Genomic DNA, 17,731 nt, shown 5'->3' on the forward strand with positions numbered 1-17,731 from the left:
GCAGCATCCCCCAACCCCTGACCTGCCCGCACACACTCAGGGTGAGCGCTCTTTGGGGGACTGTTGACTAAAGACGCAAGAAATGGCCTATTGGCCAACGGGTGGTAAACTGTAACAAGAGCCGGTCCGGTGGCCCGGCGCGGTGGCTCACGCCTGTAATCCCAGCACTGTGGGAAGCCGAGGTGGGCGGATCACGAGGTCAGGAGTTCGAGACCAGCCTGACAAACATGGTGAAACCCGGTTTCTACTAAAAATACAAAAATTAGCGGGGCGTGGTGGCGCTCGCCTGCAATCTCAGCTACTCAGGAGGCTGAGGCAGGAGAATCGCTTGAACCCGGGAGGCGGAGGTTGCAGTGAGCCGAGATCGCACCATTACACTCCAGCCTGGGCGGCACAGCAAGAGTCTATCTCAAAAAAAAAAAAAAAAAAAAAAAAAAAAAAGCCGGACCGGTGAGAAGACTAGACCTCCTAAAGGTGGAGGCGGAGCTCAAAAGCCGGACGCTACTGGACGAGGCTTAAAGCGCTCGCCCCAGCGCGGGGCCGGTGAGGAACGTTCACCGTGGACCATGGTCGAATAATGTTAGCGTGCACTCGGGGCCTCGCCCTAGCCTTCTGCAAAGCCTCGGCCTGCGCCCTCGGCTGCATCCGTTTCGACGCCAACCAACCTCATGCTCTTAGTAGAACGGCAGTAGCGACCGCGCCCTCAGGCCCACAAGCCCGAAGGTCTGGGCAGGGTCTGGAATGGCGGTGGAGACACTTTATCCGCAGGCGTTTCACCTCGCGCCCCACCCAGGCGCACACCAAGTTCTTGGTACTCCTTTTAATGGGAAAACAAGAACAGACACCATGGTTGGATAAATGTTATTTATAATTCATGGGCCGGTCTTTGAACCCTTTCAAACAAAACCCACAGCGATTTCTTTGAAAGAATGCCTGGACTGTGCTCAGAGCTCTCAGATTTTCTCAGGACCAACGAGCCGCCGCCTCGCAGATACCACTGTAAATTACCCAGCGCCTTACGTTCGTTTCTGATTATTTGCATTGCAGTGGGTTTGTTAATGAAGGACAAGAGTTTAGAAAAATCTTTTATTTTGGAAGTTGGACACGCAATCGACCCCAGCAGTGTTCCTAAAAGGAGCTATGCCATTTGGATGGGGGAAAAATGAGGGGGCGGGGAAGTCCATGTTACATTTAAAACAACAACAGCAACAAATTAAAAGCAAAACAAAACAACAAAAAAAAGGAAGTGGAGCAGGAGGAGGAGGTGGTGGTGGAGGAGAGGGAGGAGGGGCAGCAGCAGCGGCAGCAGCAGCAAGGATGGAGTCAGGACCCGTCCCAGTCCCGGGTGAGCGCTTTTGGATCTGGGTTCTGGCTCAACCCACGTAATGCCCCAATCTAAAGTTTTCTACGTGTGTGTGGATAGGAAAGTCTAAATAGAGTTTATCAGAACCCAGGTGGTCATTCTCTACACTCTCTCTAGCTTGGACCCGAAGAACAAAGGCACATGAGAGGAGAAAGGTGACCAGCTGGACGATGACGGTCACGTCCAAACGGATCCCCCTTGTCCTCGGCTCTCTCGTCCTGAGAGTGGGTTTAATTTTTTTTTTTTTAATTTATATAAGAAGGGAGCTCTTAAAGGAGAGCCATCTCCACCCTCAGGTATCCATCACCCAGCTCCAGCGCGCCTGGGAAAACCGCCCCGAAAGTCCAAGAGGAAGCTCAGAGTTGTAACGGCCGCGGAGCCAGCTCGGCGGTGACGCAAGGTCCAGTCCAGATTGCCAGGCCCGGGGCATGAGAGAGGATCCTTGTAGGTTTCGGAGGTGGGGGGGCTGCACTCCATTGTTCACTCCGGGCCAATCAGGGTTGGCCCACTTCCTCCCAGCCAATCTCCCTTCACCCCCAGCCTCCAACCCAACCCACCCCGCCCATCAGCCCCTGGATCCCCATCACCTCCCCCGCATCCCCGGCAGTTCTGGGGAAGCTTCGTGACGCCACAGGTCCCGCCCCCAGCTCCGGCCCGGGGCTAGTGCGTGTTGACGTCATGCTGCGTGCGGGCCGGTGCGGAATCGCTCCTTCAACTCCGCGGGGCAGTAGGAGTTAGTTAGCAAAGAGCCGAGGCCGGGCGCGCGACCCTCGTCCTTCTGCCCCTGGCCGCACACTTTGCGCACATCTCTTTTTCTGCATGGTGGATATTATTTTTCATTATCCTTTTCTGGGTGCTATGGGTGATCATTCCAAGAGTAAGTATTTCTGTGTGTGTGTGGGGTGGGGTGTGTGTGTATGCTTAATATGCAAAATTTCTAATGCAGAAAAATGTTTAGTGGATTCTACAAGTGGCTTCTATTTGTCAGAATAGTTTAGGAGAGGAAAAACGAATGCATGTCTCCTGCAGGACTGCTTATCTTTGGGAATCCTGTTGTTTTATTTTATAAGTAAACACTATTTCTCAAGCCGGCTAGGATGACTTCGGGCTGCGAAATCTGCTTCTGTTTTGCGCAAAGGCAATTAGGTTTGATTTAGGGATGTGGGTTTTTTTTTTTTTGGTTGTTGTTTGTTTGCCTTTCGGTTTTTCAAAGCTAGGAAGCTTTCTTTCGCTTGCTCTGGGATATTTAAACTAAGAAATGTCTGAGAGGATGAGCGGGGACTGCCGAAAGACGATGTGTCTGTGTTGGGATAGGAGGCAGCCGCTGTGAGTGGGAGTGTGTGAGCGGAAATGCCAGGACAGCACCGTTAGGTGTTGATATCCAGGCGTCCGCAGTGCCTGTGTATTTACTCTCTTCTTAGTTTCGTGTTTGCGTTTAGTTTCAAGACACGTCGACAAAACGACTGTCATTAATGAATGTAATAACGAAATATTTGGGGTGGGGGACAGAAGAAACCTTCAGCAATCCACAAGATACTGGTTTTTCGTTTCCAATGCCCTGGACCTTTAGAGAGCTCATCATCTTTCCTTATGGTCGCAAGTCTTGAAAGAAAGAGCAAGAGAGCGAGCGGGTTGGGTTGGGGCTGGAGTAGCCGAGGCCGGCCTGGGTCCGGGCAGTCAGGCCTGACGCGGCCCCGCGCCCTTCCCCGGCAGAGAAGCCCGGGACGGCCATGTGCGTGGGCTGCGGGAGTCAGATCCACGACCAGTTTATCCTGCGGGTGTCGCCCGACCTCGAGTGGCACGCGGCCTGCCTCAAGTGTGCCGAGTGCAGCCAGTACCTGGACGAGACGTGCACGTGCTTCGTGAGAGACGGGAAGACCTACTGCAAGCGGGACTATGTCAGGTGAGGCCGGCGGGAACGCGGGCTGGGCCACCGCGCGCAGGGGCCGGGGCCGGGACTGGGGATGGCGGCCTGCCCGCGCGCCCCGGCCCTGCCCAGGGAGAAGGCCATCCGCATCCCGCACGGGTGCCGCAGCGCTCCCCCGGGCCCGGGAATGCCCGCAGGCGGGTCACCGCAGTCTCCTGGTGGCCACAAAGTGTCCTGGGCGCGCGCCGGAGCCGTAGCAGCCAGGGAGATGAGGGCGGCCGCAGGCCCAGCGCTGACACCGCCGCACCTTGGGCCCGCAGGCTGTTCGGCATCAAGTGCGCCAAGTGCCAGGTGGGCTTCAGCAGCAGCGACCTGGTGATGAGGGCGCGGGACAGCGTGTACCACATCGAGTGCTTCCGCTGCTCCGTGTGCAGCCGCCAGCTGCTGCCTGGGGACGAGTTCTCGCTGCGGGAGCACGAGCTGCTCTGCCGCGCCGACCACGGCCTCCTGCTCGAGCGCGCCGCGGCCGGCAGCCCGCGCAGCCCCGGCCCGCTTCCCGGCGCCCGCGGCCTGCATCTGCCCGGTAAGCGCGCCGGGGCCTGTGCCGGGGTGAGCGGGGTGTATGTGCGTGCGTGTGTGTAGGGGTACGCTTGTGTCCCTAACGAGAAGTTGTCAGTTGTGTGTGGTTCCGTCTGCCGGGATAGTGTTTTTCTGTATCAGTGCGGAACTGTGTGCTGGGAACAAGGCTGTGTGTATTCTCGTGTGCTCGGGAGAAACTGCGTGTGTATGAGTGTGTGAGCACGGAGAATTGTGCAGAATCGTGTTCTCCATGACCAGGAACATGCAGGGCACAGTGCTAGGAGCAGAAGAGTGGATGACAACAGGGAATCTTAAGTGGTGTCCGTCTTGGGGCTTGTATTAGGAATTTCTTGGAGGAATATGTGTTATTGTCAGAGGGTAAGGTTTGCCCAGGGGTATGTGTGTAAGTAACACAGCTCCAAACTGGGAGCTGGGCAGGAGCTTGGTCAGCCAGGAGCCAAGAACCCAACAAAGAGGGGTTTTTGCCATCTTGTTTTGAGGCCCAGTTTGATGAACAATTTAGCCAGGTTCTTCTGGGGGAGGGGGAGTATCAATGCATAGTGGACTGTCACTGGAATATTCTGGGTCCTAATCAGCAGCTGCCCAGAGATGGGGTCTGAGTGTATAATGGGCAGGTACGGCTGAACAGAAACAGAGGTGCCTCCACCCCAGGCAAGGCAGTTTCCCCCAGGTAGCCATAGGCCTGCAGCACAGATCCGTAGACCAGGCTGGGCCTCTGGGTGCTGTGTGGCCTTGCCCCGCTCCTCCCCTCTCTGGATCTTCACTTCCTCCCTATAGAAAGAGGAAACTGGGCTGGATGGGCTATTTGTAAATATTTGTCCAGACCTAGAAATTCGTAGAGGGGAACATAAACCGAAATGGTGCAGTACAGATCCACGGTATATATGGGTCGGGATCAAATGGAGATGTGAAATGGGAGCAAGCGGGTATTCAGTGCACCCCCATCTGGGATCTCGGAGAGGCTCCCCTTTGTTTGTTTCGGGCTTCAGGGTGCAGGCTCTGGAATCAGTCACTGTTTCCCCGGGATGGAGAGAACCTGGGGCCAAGCGAGGAGAGTGCCAGCGGCTGCTCAGCACCTTGGTCGGTGGGAGGCCACTGGGCTGGGGAACCTGGAGCCTTGAGGAAGGAGACAGGGGCCGAAGCCCAAGGGCGGGCAGGAAGGAACTGTTGCAAGCCCTGGAGGCCCGTCCATAACCGTGGATGAGTCTTCTACACATGTGGCCTGGCCCTGTCCAAATGGGCTCTGAAGGAGGGGAAGGGCCCTCGTAGGCCCCCGGCATATTCGCACCTCCCACCCAGTCCCCTGGGCAGCGCCTCGCCCTGGGTCCACGTCGGTCCCTTTCCCTCTCCAGAGTCCTGGGCAAGCCTCTTTCCTCTTCCTCTGAAACTCCGACTTCTTCCGGAGGGCTTCGCTCGTTCCGAGGGTCCTGCGACTGGAGGAGGCACATCCCTGAGCAGCCACTCCCTCCCCGCAGCGGCCTGTCGCCGAGCTCCCGCGCCCTGCTTGAGCTCGGGAGAGATCGCTGCGGGGCAGTCCGGCCCGGGAGCGAGAGAAAGAACGAAAATGCACAGCTCTCTCCGAGTAAGGCGAACAGATGGAGAGGAAGACGAACAATTAAACGAAACAAACAGAATAAAACAGAAACGAAATCGGGCCCCGGGGGGCTGGGCCACCCGGAGGTTGGGCTCGGGGCGGGTGGGTGGCGGCCCCTCGCTAACCTCTGGCCTCACCCTGTCCTGGCAGACGCTGGGTCGGGCCGGCAGCCCGCGTTGCGCCCGCACGTGCACAAGCAGACGGAGAAGACGACCCGCGTGCGGACTGTGCTGAACGAGAAGCAGCTGCACACTCTGCGGACCTGCTACGCCGCCAACCCGCGGCCCGACGCTCTCATGAAGGAGCAGCTGGTGGAGATGACCGGCCTGAGCCCGCGGGTCATCCGCGTCTGGTTCCAGAACAAGCGCTGCAAGGACAAGAAGAAATCCATTCTCATGAAGCAGCTGCAGCAGCAGCAGCACAGCGACAAGACGGTGAGCAGCCGCTGGGCCGGAGGCTCGAGTCGGGTGGGGGCTGCGCTTCCGCCGCGGTATCTGCGTGCCCTTTTCTGGGCGAGCCCTGGGAGATCCAGGGAGAACTGGGCGCTCCAGATGGTGTATGTCTGTACCTTCACAGCAAGGCTTCCCTTGGATTTGAGGCTTCCTATTTTGTCTGGGATCGGGGTTTCTCCTTGTCCCAGTGGCAGCCCCGCGTTGCGGGTTCCGGGCGCTGCGCGGAGCCCAAGGCTGCATGGCAGTGTGCAGCGCCCGCCAGTCGGGCTGGTGGGTTGTGCACTCCGTCGGCAGCTGCAGAAAGGTGGGAGTGCAGGTCTTGCCTTTCCTCACCGGGCGGTTGGCTTCCAGCACCGAGGCTGACCTATCGTGGCAAGTTTGCGGCCCCCGCAGATCCCCAGTGGAGAAAGAGGGCTCTTCCGATGCGATCGAGTGTGCGCCTCCCCGCAAAGCAATGCAGACCCTAAATCACTCAAGGCCTGGAGCTCCAGTCTCAAAGGTGGCAGAAAAGGCCAGACCTAACTCGAGCACCTACTGCCTTCTGCTTGCCCCGCAGAGCCTTCAGGGACTGACTGGGACGCCCCTGGTGGCGGGCAGTCCCATCCGCCATGAGAACGCCGTGCAGGGCAGCGCAGTGGAGGTGCAGACGTACCAGCCGCCGTGGAAGGCGCTCAGCGAGTTTGCCCTCCAGAGCGACCTGGACCAACCCGCCTTCCAACAGCTGGTGAGGCCCTGCCCTACCCGCCCCGACCTCGGGACTCTGCGGGTTGGGGATTTAGCCACTTAGCCTGGCAGAGAGGGGAGGGGGTGGCCTTGGGCTGAGGGGCTGGGTACAGCCCTAGGCGGTGGGGGAGGGGGAACAGTGGCGGGCTCTGAAACCTCACCTCGGCCCATTACGCGCCCTAAACCAGGTCTCCCTGGATTAAAGTGCTCACAAGAGAGGTCGCAGGATTAACCAACCCGCTCCCCCGCCCTAATCCCCCCCTCGTGCGCCTGGGGACCTGGCCTCCTTCTCCGCAGGGCTTGCTCTCAGCTGGCGGCCGGTCCCCAAGGGACACTTTCCGACTCGGAGCACGCGGCCCTGGAGCACCAGCTCGCGTGCCTCTTCACCTGCCTCTTCCCGGTGTTTCCGCCGCCCCAGGTCTCCTTCTCCGAGTCCGGCTCCCTAGGCAACTCCTCCGGCAGCGACGTGACCTCCCTGTCCTCGCAGCTCCCGGACACCCCCAACAGTATGGTGCCGAGTCCCGTGGAGACGTGAGGGGGACCCCTCCCTGCCAGCCCGCGGACCTCGCATGCTCCCTGCATGAGACTCACCCATGCTCAGGCCATTCCAGTTCCGAAAGCTCTCTCGCCTTCGTAATTATTCTATTGTTATTTATGAGAGAGTACCGAGAGACACGGTCTGGACAGCCCAAGGCGCCAGGATGCAACCTGCTTTCACCAGACTGCAGACCCCTGCTCCGAGGACTCTTAGTTTTTCAAAACCAGAATCTGGGACTTACCAGGGTTAGCTCTGCCCTCTCCTCTCCTCTCTACGTGGCCGCCGCTCTGTCTCTCCACGCCCCACCTGTGTCCCCATCTCGGCCGGCCCGGAGCTCGCCCACGCGGACCCCCGCCCTGCCCCAGCTCAGCGCTCCCTGGCGGCTTCGCCCGGGCTCCTAGCGGGGAAAAGGAAGGGGATAACTCAGAGGAACAGACACTCAAACTCCCAAAGCGCATGATTGCTGGGAAACAGTAGAAACCAGACTTGCCTTGAAAGTGTTTAAGTTATTCGACGGAGGACAGAGTATGTGAGCCTTTGCCGAACAAACAAACGTAAGTTATTGTTATTTATTGTGAGAACAGCCAGTTCATAGTGGGACTTGTATTTTGATCTTAATAAAAAATAATAACCCGGGGCGACGCCACTCCTCTGTGCTGTTGGCGCGGCGGGAGGGCCGGCGGAGGCCAGTTCAGGGGTCAGGCTGGCGTCGGCTGCCGGGGCTCCGCGTGCTGCGGGCGGGGCGGGCCCGGTGGGGATTGGGCGCGGCCGAGGGGGTGGGGCTGGGCGCATGCGCGCTGAGGGCCCTCCCAGAAGCAGGAGCGCCCCATTGGCGACCCCTGGGCACCTGGCGGCCCAGGCCCGCGGGCAGGAGGCGGGACCCGTTTGGGCGGGAAACCTGCGGCACTTGTGGCGGTTGAGCGGCGGACTCCGGCCTAGGGTTATGCGGGCGAGGGCGCGCCCCGCTCCCGGAACCAGCCTTGGCCTGGCGCCTGCCGAGCCCCGAGCCCCACTCTCGCTCGGCGCCGCGGGCCCTCCCGGCGCTTCCTTCCCCAGCGGTCCGCGGCCCTGGGTGAGGCTCGAAGCCCCGCGCGCTGCCCCTGGCCCTGCAGCACAGCAGTGAGGCCAACCCCGGCCAGAGCGGGCGGCCGTGACGGGCCGTGCCCCGCGCTGTCCCCGGAGTGGATGCGCGACGTGATCAATCCGCGGCATTTATTAATTCCACAGTCTAGACAGAGGCGGGGGCCGGGCGGCGGCTGCTTATCTGCGTTTGGCATCACCTGCAAGCGATACACCGAGGGGCCGCAACGAGCCCCCGCTAGGAGCGCGGCTGCCGGGAAAATAAGTCCACCCAGAACCAGTCTGGCGTGTCCTTGGTTTATTTTCTTTCCAGACCGAAGTGGAGGGGGTCGGGGGTGGCCCGGGTGGGAGGGAGCTGGGAATGGCCCCTGGATATGCCGTGCCCAGGTCACTTGGTGTGACATTTCAAACCCCTGCGACTTGTTTTCTTGAAAACTGGCTTTAGTGATCGCAGGAAATAACCGAGAGATACTGAATCTCCAGTAGGCCTCCGGGCAACCGCGCATACACAAAAACAAAAAACCCCAAAAGAAAGAAAGAAAAAAAACCCACGGAGGCTCAGGTTTTACTCTTTACAAATATTTAACCCTTTGGCAGCCTGGGACAGTTCTTTTCCAAGACCAGCCTTCACTTAGTGGACTGAGGGAGCTTCCCGACTACCAGTTAGTCCACCGCTGTTGTAAGAACATCTGGCGTTGAGTTGTCGTTTCCCTGTCCCTCGAGTTAAGCGACCCACAAGCATATCCTTCTTTGTCCAAGGTTTGTTTTGAAAGTGGGCAACGCCCTAACTGGGTAGGGGATAGTTGCCATCTTAGCTTAGGTAGGGGCTGGCAAGGAAAACGTGTCTGGGGGGCCCTGTAGTCTTCAGATAGAAAAGTAGGTGCCTTCTGTTAGCCATGGCTGCTTGGATGGCCAAAGGCCACTGTGGGTTTTTCAGCAGCGCTTTTAGCAGAATTCCTTCACACTGCCCCCACCCCACTTGCAGATGATGGAAGGCTTGCTGGCAATTACTGAAAGAAAATGGGAGGTGGGAAAATGGAGCTGCATTTATATTTTACTTCCTGAATGTCAAGGTGATGCTGGCACAAATATTAAAGGGAACATTCCCCTTCTTTGGGATATAGGAAATGCTGCTGCAAACTTAGAGATAAGGGAAGAGATATGCAGAGTTAATGAGGACCAGCTTTACCTCTCAAGTGCCCAGAAATGGCTTTAATAATCAGGTCTGGGTTCTTTGAGGCTTCCTTTCTTTAACTTAGACCATTCCTTCCCAACAGAAATACAGATTTCTCCTTTTACCTTCTGGCTGGCCATTAGATAGGGGGCTAAAACTTCGAATAAATCTCACTGTCAAAAACTTTTGATTTATCCAGAATATTTGGGTTTTCTCATTTTTTTTAAAAAGGAAATAACAGGTTATTGAATAAAGAATTTCATTAATGGTTAATTAGCTCTGAATTTTTGCTTTTGACAGATTGCAGCGTTTTAACGCTATGAATGGAAACGTCTACATTAGTTATCTCAACATCTAATTAGTTATCTCTTTCCTCATCATCCATGAATCAAAAATCAAATTCCTCTTTTTGTTATTTATATGATTGTGTCTGTCTTTTTTGAATATTGGGAAGTTACCTAGATAAAAGTGGTTATTGTGTGTTAAGATTCCTGCATCTCTCTGTATCACTGTACAAAACATTACAAGCTTTTCTCTTCCATAGTTGCTACCCACCCAAAGGGGTGCATCGTTTTCTATGTGGGTTTCCAGGGAAAGGATTCAACTCTGAAGCCTTATTACAGTGGTCCCTAGTGAGGTGTCACATCTACGCTTGGTTAGTTACATTAATAAATATCAGTTTTACGGGTTCCCAAGTCATCTTTAAACATCTTTTGTAATACAGTAGGGATTTCCCCATAAATTAAATTACCTGTAACAATGACAAGTGTTGTATTTTATACTTACTGAACTTTTAATATGAGATACCCAATTGCATAGTAAAAAATTCAATAAAAGAGGCCATAGGTGGAAAGTGGGAGTTATTTAGCTAGATTCACTTTAGAATACGATTTTCTCAGAAGACTTAACTATTAATTTGGATAGCTCTATGCAATTGAGGAAGGAAAGGGATTCCCAGAGATAGACAGTTTATGGCTATAAGTTTTTACACAAAATTTAATACATATTGAAAGACTGCATAATTCTGGGAAATTCAGAGTCCCTGTGGCAGTATTCCCAACAAACTTTAATATTTAATGGATTGTGGAACAGAAATCAGGCTTTGTGTTTTGAATATGGAATAACAAAGCTCAATTTTGTCAGAGCTGCCAATACAGGGTTTAAATGGATATTGTCTAAGATTGTTCTCTAGAAAATTTGAGGTTCTACCTCTTCTGCCTAGGGGAGGACACAGATGGCCACACATTTAGTTAGCTGTGCTTTCTCATGGGTGTTCACCAAAGAGAGTAAGAGAATTAGCCAAATAGCAGCATGCTAGAGAGAGAAACAATGGATGAATATTTGCAGAGAAGTTCCCAGGGGAGTGGTGATAAAAGCAGGAAATTCAGAGTTTATGAAGCTGATGCGGGAAAGATTAGAGGCTTTTAAATCGGGGTCTGATTGATGTAAAAGTAAACTTTCTTGAAAATACTGGGATTCAGTGCAGTAATGAGGATTGTGTGGCCAAGTACAGACTAGCACCTTGTTGATGGAGACTGTGCATGAAAGATGCAGATGAATAGAGCTAGATTGAGAGTAGTAATGAGAGCAAGAAAGGGCACAAGGAAATACTCCATTGGGATCCAGATGTGGAGTTGGGTAGGGAGCGGCTCAATGTATACAACACATTTGGGGCCCCAGCAACAATCCAGCCAGAGAGGCGGGAGTGCAAGGTGAATCCAGCCATCCGCCTCGGTACCTCCTGGTCCGGAAGGTCAGAGCCAGCGGGGGAGTGGGTCAAGGCGTAAGCCCAGGGGCCGGCAGGAGCTCAGGAAGGCCGGTTCCCCGTTGGGAAAGAGCGTGTTTAAGTTAAGGCGTGGTTTGAGAGTAGCTAACCAGAGATCAGGTCAGCTGTTAGGGCGTGGGGGAGGGAGGGGGCAGGGAGCAGGGACGAGGAAGTGGAAGAATAGGGGATTGTGAGGAGTGATTTCTTTCCAGATTATCGAGACTCAAGACTTTCCAGAACGTGGCAAAGAGCCCTGGAAGAAATGTCCCAGGAACGCCGCGGTCAGGACCGAGGCTCCCCGGGGCCAGGTTCAGGGTTCGAGGTCCCAGCCTCGCAACTGCTGGCGTCTGGAGGGCGGGAGAGTGGCCGGGCCCGAAGCTGCGGCTCCGACGTACAGTTGCGAGTCTGGGGCGGTGGGCCCCGCAGAGCTCCGGGGGAAGGGAGCCGCCGCCGCTGCGGGGAATTGGCTTGGGCAACGCCGCTGAGTGTTCAAACGTCGCTGCTCCCGGGCCTTGGGCAGCCTCTCCTACCTGACCCAAATTCTGGGCTGCAAAGCCCGGGCGAAGTTGTCGCTTTCACTCCGAATACGCCCAGTCGCACCGTCAACTTCATAGGCTGGGCCCGGCAGAGGCCTTTCGCCTCCGCCCAGCGGTCTCCGCTGCGGCCCCTCAGCCTCTGGAGAGCCGGGGGGCGGCCCTCGCCCCGGCAGAAAGCAACCTGTGGCGGCACTGCGTCCCCGCGAGCTACAACCAGACGCGGCCGCGCTCACCTGGGCGTTGCGCTCCCCCGAGCCCCGGAGAGTTTAGAAGCCGTAAAAGCCCGGGGAGCTGGAGCTTAAATCGCCCGGACCGGGCCGGGGCGCCCGAAAGCAGTGAACTCGAGACCCCCAGGAACCGCGTGCGCCGGGAGGCACCGGGACGCTCCCGGGCCCGAGCCGCGCAGGCTCCCGGCTGGGTGGGGCCTGGGTTTGCTTCTTACGCCTCCTCCTCTCCGGGACGAGGGGGCAATGAGACCGTTCAATTAAATGTTTAATTGAGAATTCTGGTATGGTTTCTGGGAGGTTAGTCACAGCTGTCTCAATTATTTATGGCTTTTGGCAAATTTCCGACCAGATAAGTATATTCTATTGTGAAGCATCTTGCAGGAAATCTTATAAATACTTGATGATTCCTTTCAGCTGCAAGGATCCTGCGTCCGAGAGCGCGGGGCCAGCGAGCTTTGGGAACTCCTATCCCTAGTGTGGAAGGAGCCTGCGGCCGACACTTGCCTCCGTACCCCGGGGCCGCTCGCTGGGCCCGCGGCAGCCCCCGCCTGGGAGGAGCATTGGGGGCGCCAGGGGCTACCCCTCGGTCTCGCAGGCGCGGAACTCAGCCCGGCCCTGCGGCTCCGGGAGTTGCTGAGCACTCGCGGCCAGCGGCTGGAGTCCTGGGTCCCGCTCTCTGGTGCCCGGCGGCGGAGTCGCCACGCGAGGCTGGAGGGGTGGCCCTAAAGCCCGTCCCTCTGGCTTGGAGCTGCGGGTCCCCGCCCTCGAGCCGGAGCGCCGCGCTGGACACCCGCGGGGTGGGGGCTCGGCTGGGCTGAGCCACGGAGACGCCAGGGTCCCGCGGTGGCGGGGGCGCCGATCGCACTTGGAGGAGCTTTTTTTTTTTTAATCATACCTTTTAATTTTCTGTTTGCAAAGAAGTAAAAAATAGCAAATATGTAACCCGGCAGCTCTGTGAGGCTCCAAAAAGAAGGGTCCAGAACACTAGGTGGGTAAGTTTGCTTTTGAAAAACATACAACTTCTGTATTTTCCAGTCCCTCCCCGCCCCGCAGTGTCGAGTCGAATACATTTTCAGATCTTTTTCCCCAACCGGATCTTTTTTCTTGGTAATGTTTGATCAGTATCTGACAGAAATTACTACTGATGTCACTCAGTGAACGGCTTAGCACTGACCATCGGCTTAGTGAAGAAACGATGAGGACAAGACATGAAAAGGTCAACATCTCCAGGCAGACACTGAGAGGTGCACAGGAGTTATGTGAAACTCATTCAGAACCATCGCGACTTTCTGTGTGACTTTTATTTCAGCGTTGCTTCATTTCACAACCATGTGAGAAAATACTCTAGGGTGATTCACTAGGACACATCTTTTTTATCACTAATTTTTCCTTAGGAGAGTAATTTCAGCTCGGCAATGCCAAGAGAGGATTATCTGCTAGGAGAGTTCGGGCAGACCAATGAATACAACGCCCTAAGTTGATTTCAAATAGCCCCCAAACATATTATGTAGTCAGAATGCAAAAGTGTTGCAAATATCTTTACCGTAGACCTTAAAAAGTTAAATTTAGAGCAGGTAAACTTTAATTAAGTCTTTATTTAAGATACTTCAAGAGCTGGAGTTAACATTTTTCTTTCAGATTCGTATTTCCTTAACATGAAAAGTCAACAATGAAAACAGAATAAGTTACTTTATTACAAGAACAAAACAGACTTGCTAATTTTATGTCTCCTTTCACCCATATCACAAATGCAAAGTATATATTATCATAAGATGGAAATTACCAAACTCCAAGATACTCTGCATAAATGAAATAAACTCAACTTGCAAAATTAGCAAGTAGAACATTCAAGTATCTACAGTCATTATAAATAGTGTAAAGTACATGCCATATCTACAGTGTGGGAAGAGTATAAACATGGGAAAATGAGTTCTTAAGGAACAATTAGAATGTTTGTTTGGACAATTTAAAATATTAACAAGGGTACTCAAATACAGAATCAACCAAAACATTTATTTTTTCTCTTTTTTCAAGAAAAACTGTCGAGCTTCTTCCCAGGCCTGCTGAGGAAATCTGTTAGCCAGCTCAAGATAGTCTTGGGAACCAAGGCATTTCCCTGAGAGGGGGATAAAAGAGAAAAAAGTTAAATAAAAGAGGGTTAAATTCTTTGAAGATTCATAAATTAAACTTATTTTGATATCTGAGTATAAAATGGAGATATCCACTTCAAATAAACCATGACACAATTTAGGTAAATAAGGTGATTGATCTATATGTATCAATCTATCTGTAGTATAAAATATATGACATATATTTTAACCACAATCCAGTTTGTCCTTTAACATATTCAGACATTAACCCCTATATAAATTACAAAAAGATGTTTTTGGACTCCACAATGAGAAAAAAATTAGCAACCAGGCAAGCACAGTGGTGCGCGCCTGTAGTCCCAGCTATTTGGAAGGCTGAAGTCGGGGGAATGCTTGAGCCCAGGAGTTAGAGGCTATAGTTTGCTATGATCGCACCTGTGAGTAGCCATTGCACTCCAGGATAGGCAACATAGAGAGACCCTGTCTCAAAAAAAACAAAAAACAAAAAACAAAAAAAAGAACAAACTAAAATGACAGTCCTATATTCTATCCTTAAGTTAGCCATGAAAGGGGAAAACTGTATGTAAATGATGACGTTTTCTGAAAGTCTATTTAATTTAAAACATGAATGTAGTTTTAAGTATATCTTTAAAATTATTCAAATATAGCACAGCCTATCTAACAAAGCAGTAGGAATGAATGATAGGAGCTTTACTGGCCAGTGACATAGGTAAAGTAAACAATTGCAGCTAGACAGGCAGTAGGTATTTGAAAACCAAAATTCTTCCTGGGCAATAGGAATGTGGTATTACCAAGAGCTGCTTTTATATTTAAAGGTTTACCTGGACAATGAACTCAAAATATCTTGAGACATTTTATGAGGACTTAATCTAGGCAAAAGGGGAACAAATACCCAAGGTGCAAACTGGCAACTTAGGCATCATCATTAAAAAAAAAATCAAGCAACATATTATGAGCTGTCATTAACATAGTGATGACCCTTTCTGAGCAAAGGAGAGACCAATTCCCCCTTTGCTGTTCTGTGGGTTAAGCCTACTGTAACTGGGGGAAAGCATGAAAATCAGGGAAGATGGTCCCTTGGAAAAGAAAGAAGGTTGAGACTTCCACAGGCCTCAGTCCACCAAGCAGAGAGAGGCAGCTTCTGGGACTGTGTCTTCCAGACAATGTAACAAATTGTGACTCATCTTTATGATCAGGAGAAAGAGTAAGAAAAAAATGCTTATACTTCTTAGTGGCAAACAAAACAAAACAAAACTGCTGTACAATTGAAAATAAATACATTAGATTTTTCTAAGCATTTTAATTTATTCAAAATGAAATTGTTTTGTAAGAACAGTAACACATTTTGCTGATTTCTCCCCAAGTATCCTCCAGTAGTTAAAACAAAACAAAACAAAAAAAGGGCTGTGACTGGGTCAGGGCAGAACTGAACTTGCAGACTAATTCTTGCTCAGACAAATGGTACCGACAAGGATGTGGACTTGAATTTCTGAAAAGTTGCATAGCTTTCTGTTTAACTTTTCTGGGTGCCTGAGTCAATAAAACGTCTTTTTTTTTTCTTTTCATGATATTGTAATAGCTTTAGTTATATTTTCTTCTGTGCACTTTTCAACACCTGTCCACTGTAGAGGACTTTGTGTGTGTGTGTGTGTGTGTGTGTGTGTGAAAGAGTCCAAGGTAACACCCCCACCCCCACCAAGTAAGGGTTTCTTGGTGGGTGCCCTAAAGGGTCCTGCTGGGAGTGTACCTCTAAATGGCCACTTTAAAGACTATCAAACTAATGGAAGAATTGAAGAAGATCTGGATTAGGTTCTCATTCATCAGAGATGCTGTCATAACACCCAAAGAGCAACTTGTACTTCTCAATTACAGTCTGGGTAGCAGAATATTTAAAAAAGTAAAAATGTGGTAAAAATTCTACATCTCTAACTCTGATCACAGCAAACACCCCAGCAGGAATGCTATAGGAAAAAAAAACAACTTGTAAATCTTTTGCCCTGGACTTTGCCAATTAGATGACTTTTTCTCCATGTAAAACAATTATTTTCAAAACAAAAGTTCAACTACTTGAACTTGGGGGGAAACTGTGGGCTACTATTACTGATAACTTTATTCTGAACATGGATAAGGAACCAAACCTATGTGATTTCAGCATTTATGTGAGAAATGTGGGCCAGTATTAATGATCTGGCTCCTGTATTACAAAGCGGCTCTTTAGTAATTATTTACCATTTAATATATCTTGCATGAGATGATTATAAATTATACAAAGATATTTGTGCTTTTCTTTTACTCCCACAGATTTCTATACATATTTGGATGCATTCATGCTTCATGACAAAATCGATTTCTTTACTTACTGAAATATACTTGGTATCTGAATCTCAAATATTTTTAGGTTATGTATAAAATTTTACATATAATGTAGCAGTTCCAGAGGAAAGGATAAGAAAGATGTCCATTTGGCTAACAAACACATGAAATTTAATTTCAATAGAGACATACCTTTGGGTTGGTAAGGCTGGTTTTCCGCTTGACCTGGAGTCTGTGCCAAATCCTGTATGAGGAGAGAAAAGTGTTTTTCTATCAATGCTATGAACAGAGAATTTCACTAAGGGTGGCTTTAAATATACTTCTGATTCATGCAACCACTTTTGTATGAATATTTTGGGGCCCAAATATAAACGCTGAAGAAACTGATGTTACGTAGTGCAGGTTCTCATAAATAGTAATGACTTACATCTTGCTAAATTATCACCAGGGGACAACTTGCTGCCTACTTTGGAAATTACAACTTTTTATCTAATAAAACTAAAATTTAAGCCAAATTTACTATCTTAAAATATCAACAGGTGTTGATCATTTTTTTAAAAAGTACAAATATGAAAGCTCTATGTATTCTGCAGCTAAATCTTAAAGTCTGGTAATTTTGCATGTAGATGGAAAATGAAAAATGTAATATAAAATATGTAAATCTTCAGAAACCTAAGACAACCAGCTGCTATTTTAATATCATTTTCTAGTAACTCAGTTATAATGTAACACATAAGAGACCTTGAGGAACCACATTATAAACTAAAATCCTATCTATATTCATTCTCTTGAGCACAATTATTTATAGAAAAACACTTGATTTAACTCTACAAGTCTAATATGCTATCTGAAATAAACAATATAAGAAATTTTTTTTAGCATTTACAAAATTTATGTTACAGATTTTTTTTGTAAGACAAAGGTAGACTTAGTACTTTGTGATCAATATCAGATAAACACAAGAAATATATATAATCTTTAGATCCTGATATCATTTGTATCATTATAAGTCATTGTCTATGCAGTTGAAAACATAAGGAACTAAGCTGATACAGATGTGAAATTGGTTTCGCTCAAACATCACTGTCTCTTTGTTGAAGCCTCTCTGCCCACATCATAAAAACCTGCACATCATCTCCCTGAAGTCCCTAGCTCCTTTTCCTGCCTTACTTTTCTCCACAGCACTTATTGCCATAGCACTTAGCATAGTATCTGACATACTATTTGTTTTACTAATTTTTTTTTTGTCTTTTGCTTGACTCTTCTCCACTTTAATGAAAGATCTGTGAAGGCAGGAATTTTTATCTGTTTTATTTGTTGCTGTATTTGCAGTGCCCAGCACACCTTACACACTCAAAAATTACCTGTTCAATAAAAGAATGAATAAT

At 50.6% G+C, this 17,731-nt stretch overlaps 3 protein-coding genes across 21 annotated transcripts in view, besides 10 other annotated features; 1 reads left to right on the plus strand and 2 right to left on the minus strand.

Moving 5' to 3' along the window:
* Positions 1,807 to 2,101: an enhancer, noted in NCBI's record as "tiled region #228; HepG2 Activating DNase unmatched - State 1:Tss, and K562 Activating DNase unmatched - State 1:Tss". NCBI's record gives its function as "activates a minimal TATA promoter and a strong SV40 promoter by Sharpr-MPRA in HepG2 and K562 cells {active_cell/tissue: HepG2 | K562}" and the evidence as "EXISTENCE:reporter gene assay evidence [ECO:0000049][PMID:27701403]".
* Positions 1,807 to 2,412: a biological region, named in NCBI's record as "Sharpr-MPRA regulatory region 228".
* Positions 1,913 to 2,412: an enhancer, noted in NCBI's record as "H3K4me1 hESC enhancer chr15:76628955-76629454 (GRCh37/hg19 assembly coordinates)". NCBI's record gives its function as "activates a minimal SCP1, AML or CMV promoter by ChIP-STARR-seq in naive H9 embryonic stem cells {active_cell/tissue: H9 hESC(naive)}" and the evidence as "EXISTENCE:reporter gene assay evidence [ECO:0000049][PMID:30033119]".
* ISL2 (ISL LIM homeobox 2) lies at positions 2,072 to 7,774 on the plus strand. The gene is made up of 6 exons (NM_145805.3): positions 2,072 to 2,240; positions 3,077 to 3,266; positions 3,551 to 3,813; positions 5,575 to 5,858; positions 6,433 to 6,600; positions 7,018 to 7,774. Exons 1-6 carry the CDS (start codon positions 2,183 to 2,185, stop codon positions 7,132 to 7,134), a joined length of 1,080 nt encoding a protein of 359 aa, NP_665804.1. The 5' UTR covers positions 2,072 to 2,182; the 3' UTR covers positions 7,135 to 7,774.
* Positions 2,106 to 2,155: an enhancer, noted in NCBI's record as "active region_9879". NCBI's record gives its function as "activates an Ori minimal core promoter by ATAC-STARR-seq in GM12878 lymphoblastoid cells {active_cell/tissue: GM12878}" and the evidence as "EXISTENCE:reporter gene assay evidence [ECO:0000049][PMID:35858748]".
* Positions 2,581 to 3,392: an enhancer, noted in NCBI's record as "H3K27ac-H3K4me1 hESC enhancer chr15:76629623-76630434 (GRCh37/hg19 assembly coordinates)". NCBI's record gives its function as "activates a minimal SCP1, AML or CMV promoter by ChIP-STARR-seq in naive and primed H9 embryonic stem cells {active_cell/tissue: H9 hESC(naive and primed)}" and the evidence as "EXISTENCE:reporter gene assay evidence [ECO:0000049][PMID:30033119]".
* Positions 4,940 to 5,009: an enhancer, noted in NCBI's record as "active region_9880". NCBI's record gives its function as "activates an Ori minimal core promoter by ATAC-STARR-seq in GM12878 lymphoblastoid cells {active_cell/tissue: GM12878}" and the evidence as "EXISTENCE:reporter gene assay evidence [ECO:0000049][PMID:35858748]".
* Positions 5,030 to 5,239: an enhancer, noted in NCBI's record as "active region_9881". NCBI's record gives its function as "activates an Ori minimal core promoter by ATAC-STARR-seq in GM12878 lymphoblastoid cells {active_cell/tissue: GM12878}" and the evidence as "EXISTENCE:reporter gene assay evidence [ECO:0000049][PMID:35858748]".
* Positions 5,437 to 6,192: an enhancer, noted in NCBI's record as "H3K27ac-H3K4me1 hESC enhancer chr15:76632479-76633234 (GRCh37/hg19 assembly coordinates)". NCBI's record gives its function as "activates a minimal SCP1, AML or CMV promoter by ChIP-STARR-seq in primed H9 embryonic stem cells {active_cell/tissue: H9 hESC(primed)}" and the evidence as "EXISTENCE:reporter gene assay evidence [ECO:0000049][PMID:30033119]".
* Positions 7,692 to 8,723, minus strand: LOC124903532 (uncharacterized). The gene has a single exon (XM_047433420.1). It carries the CDS (start codon positions 8,721 to 8,723, stop codon positions 8,079 to 8,081), a length of 645 nt encoding a protein of 214 aa, XP_047289376.1. The 3' UTR covers positions 7,692 to 8,078.
* Positions 11,445 to 11,946: an enhancer, noted in NCBI's record as "H3K4me1 hESC enhancer chr15:76638487-76638988 (GRCh37/hg19 assembly coordinates)". NCBI's record gives its function as "activates a minimal SCP1, AML or CMV promoter by ChIP-STARR-seq in primed H9 embryonic stem cells {active_cell/tissue: H9 hESC(primed)}" and the evidence as "EXISTENCE:reporter gene assay evidence [ECO:0000049][PMID:30033119]".
* Positions 11,954 to 12,123: a silencer, noted in NCBI's record as "silent region_6688". NCBI's record gives its function as "represses an Ori minimal core promoter by ATAC-STARR-seq in GM12878 lymphoblastoid cells {active_cell/tissue: GM12878}" and the evidence as "EXISTENCE:reporter gene assay evidence [ECO:0000049][PMID:35858748]".
* SCAPER (S-phase cyclin A associated protein in the ER) overlaps positions 13,203 to 17,731 on the minus strand; it is a 557,437-nt gene continuing 552,908 nt past the window's right edge. For all 19 annotated transcript variants that reach the window (NR_148227.2, XM_017022273.2, XM_011521653.4 and 16 more), the window contains 2 exons: positions 16,536 to 16,587; positions 13,203 to 14,035 (listed from right to left, as the gene is read on the minus strand). Coding sequence is in view for 18 of the 19 variants with exons in the window: in XM_017022273.2 (XP_016877762.1) it covers positions 13,932 to 14,035; positions 16,536 to 16,587 (156 nt within the window). In the remaining variant the exon portion in view is untranslated. The remainder of the gene's footprint in view (positions 14,036 to 16,535; positions 16,588 to 17,731) is intronic.

Source organism: Homo sapiens, chromosome 15, assembly GCF_000001405.40.
Source record: "Homo sapiens chromosome 15, GRCh38.p14 Primary Assembly".
Classification (NCBI taxonomy): domain Eukaryota; kingdom Metazoa; phylum Chordata; class Mammalia; order Primates; family Hominidae; genus Homo; species Homo sapiens.

What these genes read in the sequence shown, in the direction of transcription:
- ISL2 (NM_145805.3), top strand. Translation starts at nt 2,183, where the DNA reads ATGGTGGATATTATTTTTCATTATCCTTTTCTGGGTGCTATGGGTGAT. An exon ending in TATGGGTGATCATTCCAAGA is followed by an intron (nt 2,241 to 3,076) that starts GTAAGTATTTCT and finishes CTTCCCCGGCAG; the next exon opens with AGAAGCCCGGGACGGCCATG. An exon ending in CCGCGGCCTGCATCTGCCCG is followed by an intron (nt 3,814 to 5,574) that starts GTAAGCGCGCCG and finishes CTGTCCTGGCAG; the next exon opens with ACGCTGGGTCGGGCCGGCAG.
- LOC124903532 (XM_047433420.1), bottom strand. Translation starts at nt 8,723, where the DNA reads ATGCGCGGTTGCCCGGAGGCCTACTGGAGATTCAGTATCTCTCGGTTA.